The sequence below is a fragment of the Homo sapiens genome, chromosome 9 (assembly GCF_000001405.40).
Source record: "Homo sapiens chromosome 9, GRCh38.p14 Primary Assembly".
In the NCBI taxonomy this organism is placed as follows: domain Eukaryota; kingdom Metazoa; phylum Chordata; class Mammalia; order Primates; family Hominidae; genus Homo; species Homo sapiens.
This window is the reverse complement of record NC_000009.12, coordinates 85,878,314-85,890,433: the sequence shown is the minus strand read 5'-3', so window position 1 is coordinate 85,890,433 and position 12,120 is coordinate 85,878,314. Positions and strand designations below refer to the sequence as shown.

At 43.4% G+C, this 12,120-nt stretch overlaps 1 annotated feature.

Annotated features, from left to right (window-relative positions):
- Positions 10,567-11,129: an enhancer, noted in NCBI's record as "OCT4-NANOG-H3K27ac hESC enhancer chr9:88494220-88494782 (GRCh37/hg19 assembly coordinates)". NCBI's record gives its function as "activates a minimal SCP1, AML or CMV promoter by ChIP-STARR-seq in primed H9 embryonic stem cells {active_cell/tissue: H9 hESC(primed)}" and the evidence as "EXISTENCE:reporter gene assay evidence [ECO:0000049][PMID:30033119]".

Below are 12,120 nucleotides of genomic sequence, written 5' to 3'. Positions count from 1 at the left end.
TCTTTGCTTTTTTTTTTTTTTCCATTTCTTTTCTTCCTGGAAGTCTTTCAGACCTGATATTTTAAATTTGTATAAGTACTTAATACCATCTAGAACTCAATCAAAATAAGAGCTTTATTGAATCTGAGACTTGATAACTTTACTTGCCAACTGTCTATGGAATAACCATCCTGTCTTGTTTAAAAGTAGCTTCTGAGGTAAACACACTTTGTTTTCCATCAGTGGCATATCTATACTAACCTGGTACAGATTCCTTATCCAGGGGGGGATGATTATTTATTCATAAAGCAGAAACAACCTATAACAATCTGACTTTAAGGAGGCCCTCCTTGGAGATCAAGAGTTCATATTCCTAAGTCTGAGAGAGGGGAATTTAGTGAGGATCTGAGCAGGGTGATTTTAAAGTTGTTCAACTATGAATACAGCAGATGCCAGAATGACCAGATGGATGCCAAACCAGCACACACCAGCAGCATATCAGAGCCGGAGCCCAACCAAAACAGGTACTGGTTTTTGACTAGGGAATTCTTAAGTGAGTAGTTTATAATAAAAGTTATTTTTCCCTATTTTATTATTATTATTATTATTATTATTATTTTTTTTTTTTAGATAGTCTTGCTCTGTCACCCAGGCTGGAATGCAATGGCACGATCTCAGCTCACCACAACCTCTGCCTCCCAGGTTCAGGTGATTCTCCTGCCTCAGCCTTCCAAGTAGCTGGGATTACAGGTGCACGCTACCATGCCCGGCTAATTTTTGTATTTTTAGTACAGACAGGGTTTCACCACGTTAGTCAGGCTGGTCTTGAACTCCTGACCTCAGGTGATCCACCTGCCTCAGCCTTTCAAATTTCTGGGATTATAGGCGTGAGCTACAGCGTCCGTCCTCTCCAGCTTCTTGACTGTGGTCTGATAGGTGTACCTGTTCCGTAATGACTGCAGACTGAGCAACACTTCAGATGCTTGCGGTGGATAGTATGAAATCTTGAAGGCAAAATGAAATTTTATTCTTGACTTTGGTGAGTCTATTAAGTCATTAAATTCATATTTCATCTTTATATAAGGAATGTGGTCATGATGGCAGGATTTCATGGTCAAAAAACAGTTTCCAGCTTTTTAATGATCATTTTGCAAGGTCTTTTATTCCTCCCTTCTAAGTGGGGGCATGTATTTGTGCAAATATTATTGCTATAGACTAAGATCCTTGGAGATATACCTACTTTCATGCCCCAGTAAAAGTGATCTTAATTTGGGGGAATAGAGGAGTGTGTTTTTCTAACTCCTAAGAGCTTTTCTTCTTTGTTTGTATGCTAGATTTATTTGTCAAATAAGTAACAGTTATCTGCTAATTGAACAAAACCAGAAAAAATTATAAATAGATATTAATGAAATATATTTTTAACATTTGCATTTTCCCACTTCTCCAGAGTGGAGGTCTAGCATACTGCATGGATTTAAATTAAAAAAATTTAAATACACATATTGACAAAAAAGAAAACAGATTGCAAATATATATTTTTATACATATATTTTATTGGTGTCAACAGATTTTTTAAGAATAATTTTTACTAAATTCAATATTTTTTAATATTGGAACCTAACTTCCAGGTATGAAACAATTCTACAGTACCTAATTTTTGAAAATACCATTACCAGCCAGGCGCTGTGGCTCATGCTTGTAATCCCAGCACTTTGGGAGGCTGAGGCAGGTGGATCATGAGGTCAGGAGATGGAGACCATCCTGGCTAAGATGGTGAAACCTCATCTCTACTAAAAATACAAAAACAACAACAACAACAACAATTAGCCAGGCGTGGTGGCATGCGTCTGTAGTCCCAGCTACTCGGGAGGCTGAGGCAGGAGAATCGCTTAAACCTGGAAGGCGGAGGTTGCAGTGAGCCGAGATTGTGCCACTGCACTACAGCCTGGGCAACAAGGCGAGACTCCGAATCAAAAAAAAAAAAACAAAAAGAAAAAAAGAAAATACCATTACCAAAAGAAAACTGAAGCTTGGCAACTTTCCCTAAGGTGTAAGCTAACTTCGATTACATATATATATATATATATATATAATTTTTTTTTTAAGATGCTGTCTCACTCTTTCACCCAGGCCGGAGTGCAGTGACGCAATCTTGGCTCACTGCAACCTCTGCCTCCTGGGTTGAGGCAATTCTCTGCCTCAGCCTCCTGAGTAGCTGGGATTACAGGCACCTGCTGCCATGCCCGTCTAATTTTTTGTATTTTCAGTAGAGACGGGGTTTCACCAAGTTGGCAAGGCTGGTCTTGAACTCCTGACCTCGTGATCCTCCCACCTCAGCCTCCCAAAGTGCTGGGATTACAGGCGTGAGCCACCGCACCTGGCTGATAATATTTTTTAAAGTTTGTACATGACAACTACTATTAGCTTTACAGTCTTTACTGTAATTTTACTAATTTCAGATTTAGTAAAGAAAAAGTCTTTTAACAATCTTAAAGGTTAAATACTTAATTACCTAAAGAAGTCTGGACTTGTTTCTGCTGAATTATCCTTGTCTCCCAAACAGTGAGAACATTTCCTTCTGTTGCTTAGAGAAGTTCCCAGCCAGCAATCATTGTTTTCATTTTGTCTTTTCAAATACTTTTGGGCTAGCTGCTTGATTTCATGATGCACTTAACTTTTGAGATACTATTCTTATTCTACAGGCAGTCTATTTTAAAATCAGCATTTTCATCAAGAAGCAATTATTAAGTACTTTCTATGAGTCACTATGCTTGGGGAAAAAGAAGAGACAGTCACATCTCTACATTTGTAGTAAATATTTGTGATTCATGGAAAAATGAGCTTTTAAAGAAACATGAGATATGGGTTCTCAATAATAAATAGTTAATTCCAACCAGAGAAATATCCGGAAAGACTTCAGGAGGAGGATATATTTGAACTGGACACTGAAGGATAATAGTGATCACTATATGCCTAGATGTCTCAAGTCATAAAATCAGTACATAAAAATTTGATTTTTAAATTTTTCTAAAACTGAACTTAATTTCTATCTCAAGTCTCCATTTCTGCCTGCTATGGCAAAACTTAATCTAGACATTTCCAGATAAACTCAGCCAAATATTGAGATTTCTTATGCATTTTAAAATTCAGTCAAACACATCCTTGCTACTCGAGTTGTGGTCCATGGACCCAGCAGCATCAGCAGCATCTGGGAGCTTTTTAGAAATGCAGAATCTTGATCCCCACTGCAGATCTTCTGAGTCAGAATCAAGATTTGTATTAAAAATCCCTAAATCAGAATCAGTAGTTTAACAAGATTTCCAAGTGATTTATATGCACATTAAAATTTGAGAAGCCCTGAAATACATTACTGTCACTTTCCTCTTCAAAATAGAATCTGAGCTCCAGGGCTTCGGAAGTGTGCTGGGATCAGGGGCAGTCCTCTAGCTGTGCATTGGCAAGGTCAGCCACTGAATTTGCTACAAGGAGTCAACCAGTCTGCTTCTGAGATGGTTGAGCCTTCCATGGTGGCTAGCCTCAGTTGGGATGGAAGCTGGTCTCCATCTAACCTCAGTCTCAACTTTCTTGCTCTACCATAGGTTTCTCTCTTTCCCTGGCTGCAAGACCTTTAGAGATCTACCATATCTCACTTTTCACTAATCTCACATCATTTCTCTCATTTTTCAAAATTTCTCTACTTTCCCAGAAACTTTCTGGTTCATTCATCTTTGTGGAAGCCTGCTAGCTCAGGCATCTGAAGTTCAACTAGTCAGTGACCACAGGTACAGGTTGGCCTTCTTGTGGTTGGGACAGAAGTCAGACAGGCTGTGTCTAACTATATATTGCTGAGTTCATAATCAACAATACATAGTGAGTGGAAGGAAAATGGAAACGTTGCTGAGTATGAATCCTTAATCACAACTGCAAAGACAAATTTTTCCAAATAATGTAACATTCACAGGTCCCTAGGAATTTGAGGTAGATATCTTTTAGGTGGCTGTTCTTGGCCTACTACATACAGATTAGTATATACACATATATTTCTTTGCTCTGTCGGCTGAGAGGGCCTAAAAAGAAACAAGGTAGCACACGGTGACTATTCAGATCTTGGTTTCTATTGTAATACCATTCTCTAGTAGAAGAAACCAGGGCTATTTGGAGAAATGGCTGATTCTAGTACTGGGCAGGATATACACATGATGGGCCTAGGGCATCCTGTAGTGCTAGAAACAGGAATTTCTCAAAAATGAACAAATGAAACCCTATCTCTACCAAAAAATACAAAAATTGCCGGGCGTAGTGGCATGCACCTGTAATCCCAGCTACTTGGGAAGCTGAGGCAGGAAAATCGCTTGAACCTAGGAGGCAGAGGTTGCAGTGAGCCGAGATCGTGCCACTGTACTCCAGCCTGGGTGGCAGAGCGAGACTCTGTCTCAAAAAAAAAAGGCATTTCAAAGGGGCCCAGGAGCCAACTGAAAGAGTTCTCAATGGCCAAAGCTGGAAGAATTAGAGAAAAAAAAGTAGTATTGAATTATAACCCAAGTATAATAAATACCCAGCAGTTCCTACTGATCTAAATAAATTAATAAATGGGAGAGAAAAGACAAATGTCCTGTAAAGAAGAATTCAAAATCACCTAAGTAGATACTTCACTCTAAAGACGGGGAGCATAACTTCTTGCCTTTTAAGTGCGGGCTGCACATTTTTACTTCCTTTCAATAATACAGCATAGAAAAGGGGGGAAAGAGTAACTTCCCAGTGGAGAAACCTGACAAACGTCCTTCAGCCAGGTGACGAAGGTCAACACCAACAGTCACAAATCACACAGACAGTCTGTACCATTGACATGATGTGAGGAGAGTGACACTTTACCTCTGTGGTCTTCCTCCCCCACACCCATAGCCTTAGTCTCATCATTGTAAAAACATTCCATTTAAATTTAAATTGAGGAACATTCTTTAAAAAATAGCTGATCAGTACTCCTCAAAACTGTCAAAATCATTGAAGACAAGGAAAGTCTAAGAAACTGTCACAGCCAAGAGGAACCTAAGGAGATAGGACAACTAAATGTAATGCGGTATCCTGGATGAGATTCTGGAACAGAAAATGGGTATTAGAGGCCGGGAGCATGACTCACGCCTGTATTCACAGCACTTTGGGAGGCCGAGGTGGGTGGATCATCTGATGTCAGGAGTTCAAGACCAGCCTGGCCAACATGGTGAAACCCCATCTCTACTTAAAAAAAAAAAAAAAAATTAGCTGGGCATGGTGGTGGTACACACCTGCAGTCCCAGCTACTTGGGAGGCTGAGGCAGGAGAATTGCTGGAACCCAGGAAGCAGAGGTTGCAATGAGCCGAGATTGCACCACTGCACTCCAGCCTGGGCAACAGAGCAAGATTCTGCCTCAAACAAAAAAAATGATATTAGAGAAAAACTAAGAAAATCTGAATAAAGTATGGACTTTGGTTAATAATAAAGTAATTATATTGGCTCATTAATTGTAACAAAAGTGTCAGGCCTCTGAGCCCAAGCTAATTTATCATACCCCCTGTGACCTGCACATTTACATTCAGATGGCTTGAAGCAACTGAAGAATCACAAAAGAAGTGAAAATGGCTGGTTCCTGCCTTAACTGATGACATTACCTTGTGAAATTCCTTCTCCTGTCTCAGAAGCTCGCCCACTGAGCACCTTGTGACCCCTGCCCCTGCCCGCCAGAGAACAGCCCCCTTTGACTGTAATTTTTCATTACCTACTTTATTGCTCACACATAGCCTGTTTGGTGGTCTCTTCACACGGACGCGTGTGACATTTGGTGCCAAAACCCAGGACAGGAGGACTCCTTTGGGAGACCGGTCATCTGTCCTCACCCTCACTCCATGAGGGGATCCACCTACAACCTCAGGTCCTCAGACCAACCAGCCCAAGGAATATCTTACTTTCTGTTTGGACAGAAAGGCTACAGGGTGTGGTCTGGCTCTTGTGTAAGAATTCCGACTGCACAGCCCTGCACTTCAGCTGTGTGTAACGAAAAGGGCTGCGATGAGTCAGGGAGAGCTAGTGTGGGAACAGTCTCTAAAGCTGTCTTCAAGGAACGGAAAGAGGAGTGGCAAACGGATTTAGGATCTATGGGGTCAGCTAGGTTTGGTTTTGTGAGTTTATATAATGGTTCTGTTAGGATGGCAAAACCAGGTATCTAAAGGCGAAAGTATCCTACCATGCCCAGGAAGGAAAGGAGTTGTTTTGTAGAAGGCGGTGAGGTTTGAGAGATCAGTAGGACATGATCGGCAGGGAGAGCACATGTGTTTTCATGAAGAACTATGCCAAGATAGGTAACAGATGAGGAAGGAATTTGGGCTTTACTGAAGTAATGGGGGCTGTCCGTGAAGGCTTGTGGCAGTACAGCCCAGGTAAGTTGCTGAGGCTGATGGGTGTCAGGGCCAGCCCAAGTGAAAGCAAAGAGAGGCTGGGATGAAGGATGCAAAGGAATAGCAAAGAAAGCATGTTTGAGATCCAGAACCGAATAATGGGTTATGGAGGGGTTGTGGAGGGAGGTATTGAGGATAGGAGAGTATATGGGTTTGGCACCGCAGGTTGGATAGGCAAAACAATTTGCTTGATAAGGCGCAGATCCTGAACTAACCTGTAAGCCTTGTCTGTTTGTTGGACAGGTAAAATGGGGGAATAGTAAGAAGAGTTTATAGGCTTTAAAAGTTACATGCTGTAACAGGCAAGTGATAACAGGCTTTAATCTATTTAAAGTGTGCTGTGGGATGGATACTGGTGTTGAGTTGGGTAAGGATGATTAGGTTTTAATGGGATGGTAAGGGGTGCATGATCAGTCGTCAAGGAGGGAGTAGACGTACCTCATACTTGTGGGTTAAGGTGGGGGGATATGAGAGGAGGATGCAAAGGAGGCTTTGAACTAGGGAAAAGGGCGGCAATGAGGTGTAGCTGTAGCCTAGGAATAGTGAGGGAAGCACATAATTGGTTTAAATGTCTCGGCCTAATAAGGGAACTAGGCAGGTGGGGATAACTTAAAAAGATTGCATAAAAGAATGTTGTCCAATTTGGCACCAGAGTAGCGGAGTTTTAAGGGATCTAGAAGCCTGGCCATCAATACCCACAACAGTTACGGAGGCAAAGGAAACAGGCCCTTGAAAAGAAGGTAATGTGGAGTGGGTAGCCTCCGTATTGATTAAGAAGGGGACAGACTTACCCTCCACTGTGAGAGTTACCTGAAGCTCAACATCTGTGATGGTCTAGGCGGCTTCTGAGGCGATCGGCCTGCATCAGTCTTCAGCCACTAAGCTGAGAAGATGTGGGAAGGAGTCAGTCAGAGAGCCTTGGGCCAGAGTTCCAGGGGCTCTGGGAGTGGCTGCTGGGTGAGTTGGACAGTCCGATTTCCAGTGGTGTCCCGCACAGATGGGACATGGTTTAGGAGGAATCCTGGGCTGCAGGCATTCCTTGGCCCGGTGGCCAGATTTCCAGCACTTAAGGCAAGATCCTGGGGTAGGTGGTCCTGGAGGAACGCCTGGCCACTGCAGTTCAGGCGTTTGGAGTTCTTGTGTGCTGGAGATGTGGCTGGGGTTTGTCTCACAGTGGAAGCAACGAATTGTAACTCAGAAATAGCTACTTGGCTGCCTCTACTCTATTATTGCACACTGTGAAGGCGGGGTTAATTAAGTCCTGTTGTGGGGTTTGAGGGCCAGAATCTAATTTCTGGAGCTTTTTTTAATGTCGGGAGTGGGTTGGGTAATAAAATGCGTATTGAGAATAGACAGCCTTCTTGCCCCTATGGGTCTAGGGTGGTAAAATGTCTAAAGGTTGTTGCCAAACGGGCCATGGACTGGGCTGGGTTTTTATATTTGATGAAAAAGAGCCTAAATGCTAACTGATTCGGGAAAGGTCAGATACAGAAAAAGGAGCATTAACCTTGACTATGCCTTCAGCTCCAGCCACCTTTTTAAGAGGAAATTGTTGGGCAGGAGGGGGAGGACTAGTCACGGAATGAAACTGTAAGCCAGACCAGGTGTGAGGAGGGGAGGTGATAGAAAGATTATAGGGTGGGGGAGCAGAGGTTGAGAAAGAATTGGGACCTGGCTTGGCCTGTCGAGGAGCAGCCTGGGGAGGAGAGGTCAGATGGGTCTGTAGAAAAGGAGGATTCAAAGGACTCAGAGCTTGGGGTGGAGACTGAAGGAACAGAGAGGCGAGAAAAAAGAAAGATTTGGGATGAGTCACATTGGAGCAGAGACCAATGTGTAAAAGAATGCCTGGAAGTCAGGCACATCAGACCCATTTGCCCATTTTTTGACAAAAATCATCCAAGTCTTGTGAAATGAAGAAATCAAAAGTGTCATTTTCTGGCTATTTAGAACAATTATCAAGTTTGTATTGGGGCCAAGAGGTGTTGCAGAAGAAAATAAGATGATCAGGTTTTCGGTCAGGCGAGAGTTGAAGAGGTTTTAAGTTTTTGAGAACACAGGCTAAGGGAGAAGAAGGGGGAATGGAGGGCGGAAGCTTGCCCCTAGTGAAGGAGGGAAGTTTAAAGAGAGATACTGACACGGAGAAGGGAGTGGGTGAGCAGCCCTGGGCTGTAATGTAGGTGAGCAGCCAAAGCAGGCATCCCCGCAGTTGACTTGCCACCAAGGGAATGTGGGTGACTGACCAAGGCACGTGTCCCCATGGTGATCAGACACCAATGAAATGTGGGTGAATAATCAGGCAGGCATCCCTGCAGTGATTAAACACCAAGGGAAGACTGTCTTCCCGAGTCGGTGACTGGCGCCGGAGTTTTGGGTCCACGGATAAGATGTGTCTCCTTTCTCTCTACTAGAGAGGAAAAAGAACTGGAATTGGAAGGACAGGGAGATTGAAGGGTAGTGAGAGAGGGAGATTGAAGGGTAGCAAGAGAGACTGGAGAAAAGAGTGAAAAGACCGCTTACCTGATTTGAAATTGGTGAGATGTTCCTTGGGCTGGTTGGTCTGAGGATCTGAGGTCGTAGGTGGATCTCCTCATGGAGTGATGGTGAGGACAGGGGATGGTCTCCCGAAGAAGTCCTCCTGTCCTGGGTTTCGGCACCAAATGTCATGCACATCTGTGTCAAGAGACCACCAAACAGGCTTTGTGTGAGTACCAAGGCTGTTTATTTCACTTGGGTGCAGGGGGGCTGAATCCGAAAAGAGTCAGTAAAGGCAGATAGAGGTGGGGCCGTTTTATAGGATTTGGGTGGGTAGTGGAAAATTACAGTCAAAGGGGGTTGTTCTCTTGCGGGCAGGAGCGGGAGTCACAAGATGCTCAGTTGGGGAGCTTCTGAGCCAGGAGAATGAAATTCACAAGGTTAATTGCTCAGTTAAGGTGGGGCAGGAACAAATCACAATGGTGAAATGTCATCAGTTAAGGCAGGAACCGGCCATTTTCACTTCTTTTATGATTCTTCATTTGCTTCAGGCCATCTGGATGTATACGTGCAGGTCACAGGGGACATGATGGCTTAGCTTGGGCTCAGAGGCCTGACATCCTCCATCATTAATGCCTCTTTAATAAAAACTCTGCTCAAGGCCGTTTTACTTCCAAAGGAAGCTGGAGTCATTCACTGCAAGGGCCATCAAAAGGCATCAGATTCCATCGCTCAGGGCAACACTTATGCTGATAAGGTAGCTAAAAAAGCAACTAGGTTCCAACTTCTATCCCTTATGGCAGTTTTTCTCCTTCTCAGCTGGTCACTCCCACCTACTCCCCCACAGAAACTTCCACCTATCAATCTCTTCCCACACAAGGCAAATGGTTCTTGGACCAAGGAAAATATCTCCTTCCAGCCTCACAGGCCCATTCTATTCTGTTGTCATTTCATAACCTCTTCCATGTAGGTTACAAGCTGCTAGCCCACCTCTTAGAACCTCTCATTTCCTTTCCATCGTGGAAATCTATCCTCAAGGAAATCACTTCTCAGTGTTCCATATGCTATTCTACTACTCCTCAGGGATTGTTCAGGCCCCCTCCCTTCCCTACACATCAAGCTCGGGGATTTGCCCCTGCCCAGGACTGGCAAATTGACTTTACTCACATGCCCCAAGTCAGGAAACTAAAATACCTCTTGGTCTAGTAGACATTTTCACTGGATGGTAGAGGCCTTTCCCAAAGGGTCTGAAAAGGCTACCATGGTCATTTCTCCCCTTCTGTAAGACATAATTCCTTGGTTTGGCCTTCCCACCTCTATACAGTCTGATAACGGACTGGCCTTTATTAGTCAAATCACCCAAGCAGTTTTTCAGGCTCTTGGTATTCAGTGGAAACTTCATACCCCTTACCGTCCTCAATCTTCAGAAAAGGTAGAATGGACTAATGGTCTTTAAAAACACACCTCACCAAGTTCAGCCTCCAACTTAAAAAGGAGGACTCTGTCAAGGATAAGCCCAAAAACTCACCAACCAAGCAAGTAATTACGCTGAACCCTCCTGGGCACTCTCTAATTGGATGTCCTGGGTTCTCCTAATTCTTAGCCCTTTAATACCTGTTTTTCTCCTTCTCTTATTCAGACCTTGTGTCTTCCGTTTAGTTTCTCAATTCATACAAAACTGCATCCAGGCCATCACCAATCATTCTATATGACAAATGCTTCTTTTAACAACCCCACAATATCGCCCCTTACCACAAAAGCTTCCTTCAGCTTAATCTCTCCCACTCTAGGTTCCCACGCCGCCCCTAATCCCGCTCGAAGCAGCCCTGAGAAACATCTCCCATTATCTCTCCATACCACTCCCCAAAATTTTCGCTGCCCCAACACTTCAACACTATGTTGTTTTATTTTTCTTATTAATATAAGAAGACAGGAATGTCAGGCCTCTGAGCCCAAGCTAAGCCATCATATCCCCTGTGACCTGCATGTATACATCCAGATGGCCTGAAACAAGTGAAGAATCACAAAAGAAGTGAAAATGGCTGGTTCCTGCCTTAACTGATGACATTACCTTGTGAAATTCCTTCTCCTGGCTCAGAAGCTCCCCCACTGAGCACCTTGTGACCCCTGCCGGTGCCAGCCAGAGAATAACCCCCTTTGACTGTAATTTTCCACTACCTACCCAAATCCTATAAAACTGCCCCACCCCATCTCCCTTTGCTGACTCTTTTCAGACTCAGCCTGCCTGCACCCAGGTGATTAAAAAGTTTTATTGCTGACACAAAGCCTGTTTGGTGGTCTCTTCACACGGACTCGCATGACAAAAAGTACTATATTAATGTAAAATATTACTCAAAGGGGCAACTGTGTGCAGAGATTGGGGTCACATATTGGCACTCTCTGTAGTCTCTGCTCAATTTTTCTGTAAATGTAAAACTGTCAGAAAAATCATAACATCTTTATTACTATTTCACTTTTTTCATAGTCAGCATCTATTTTTTTCCTTTGGTAATTTAAAGAGCTTAACTTCCTAGCTGGCTAATGCTGATCAGTGGGAATACATATGTGTGGGGTCTGGAGTGAGCTGCGGATCCTGCCTCCCTCAGTGATCTGTGTGGATTTTGACAAGATTTTTAACCTCTCCGTACCTCAGTTGCCTGTGGGTATAATAATGACATTCCTCAATTGCCTCACGAAGATAATAATAAAATTGTACCTTTACCTCCAGATTTGTTATGAGATTTAAGTGAAATAATGTTTTTTTTTTTTTTTTTTTTTTTGAGAGGCCGTTTTCGCTCTTGTTGCCCAGACTGGAGTGCAGTGGCTTGATCTTGGCTCACTGCAACCTCCACCCCCGGGCTTCAAGTGATTCTCCTGCCTTAGCCTCCCAAGTAGCTGGGATTACAGGCACATGCCATCATGCCCAGCAATTTTTTTTTAATTTTTATTTTTAGTAGAGATAGGGTTTCACCATGTTAACCAGGCTGGTCTCGAACTCCTGACCTTAGGTGATCCACCCGCCTCGGCCTCCCAAAGTGCTGGGATTACAGGCGTGAGCCACCGTGCCTGGTCAAAGTGAGATAATGTCTTGTTGGTAAATTCTATGAAGCAAGGGATCTTGTCTGTTTTGACTCACCAGTCAACCCTGTACAGGGATTGGAAAACATTTTCTGTAAAGGGTCAGGTAGTAAATATCTTAGGATTTGTTAGCTATATGGTCTCTGCTGCAACAATTCAATT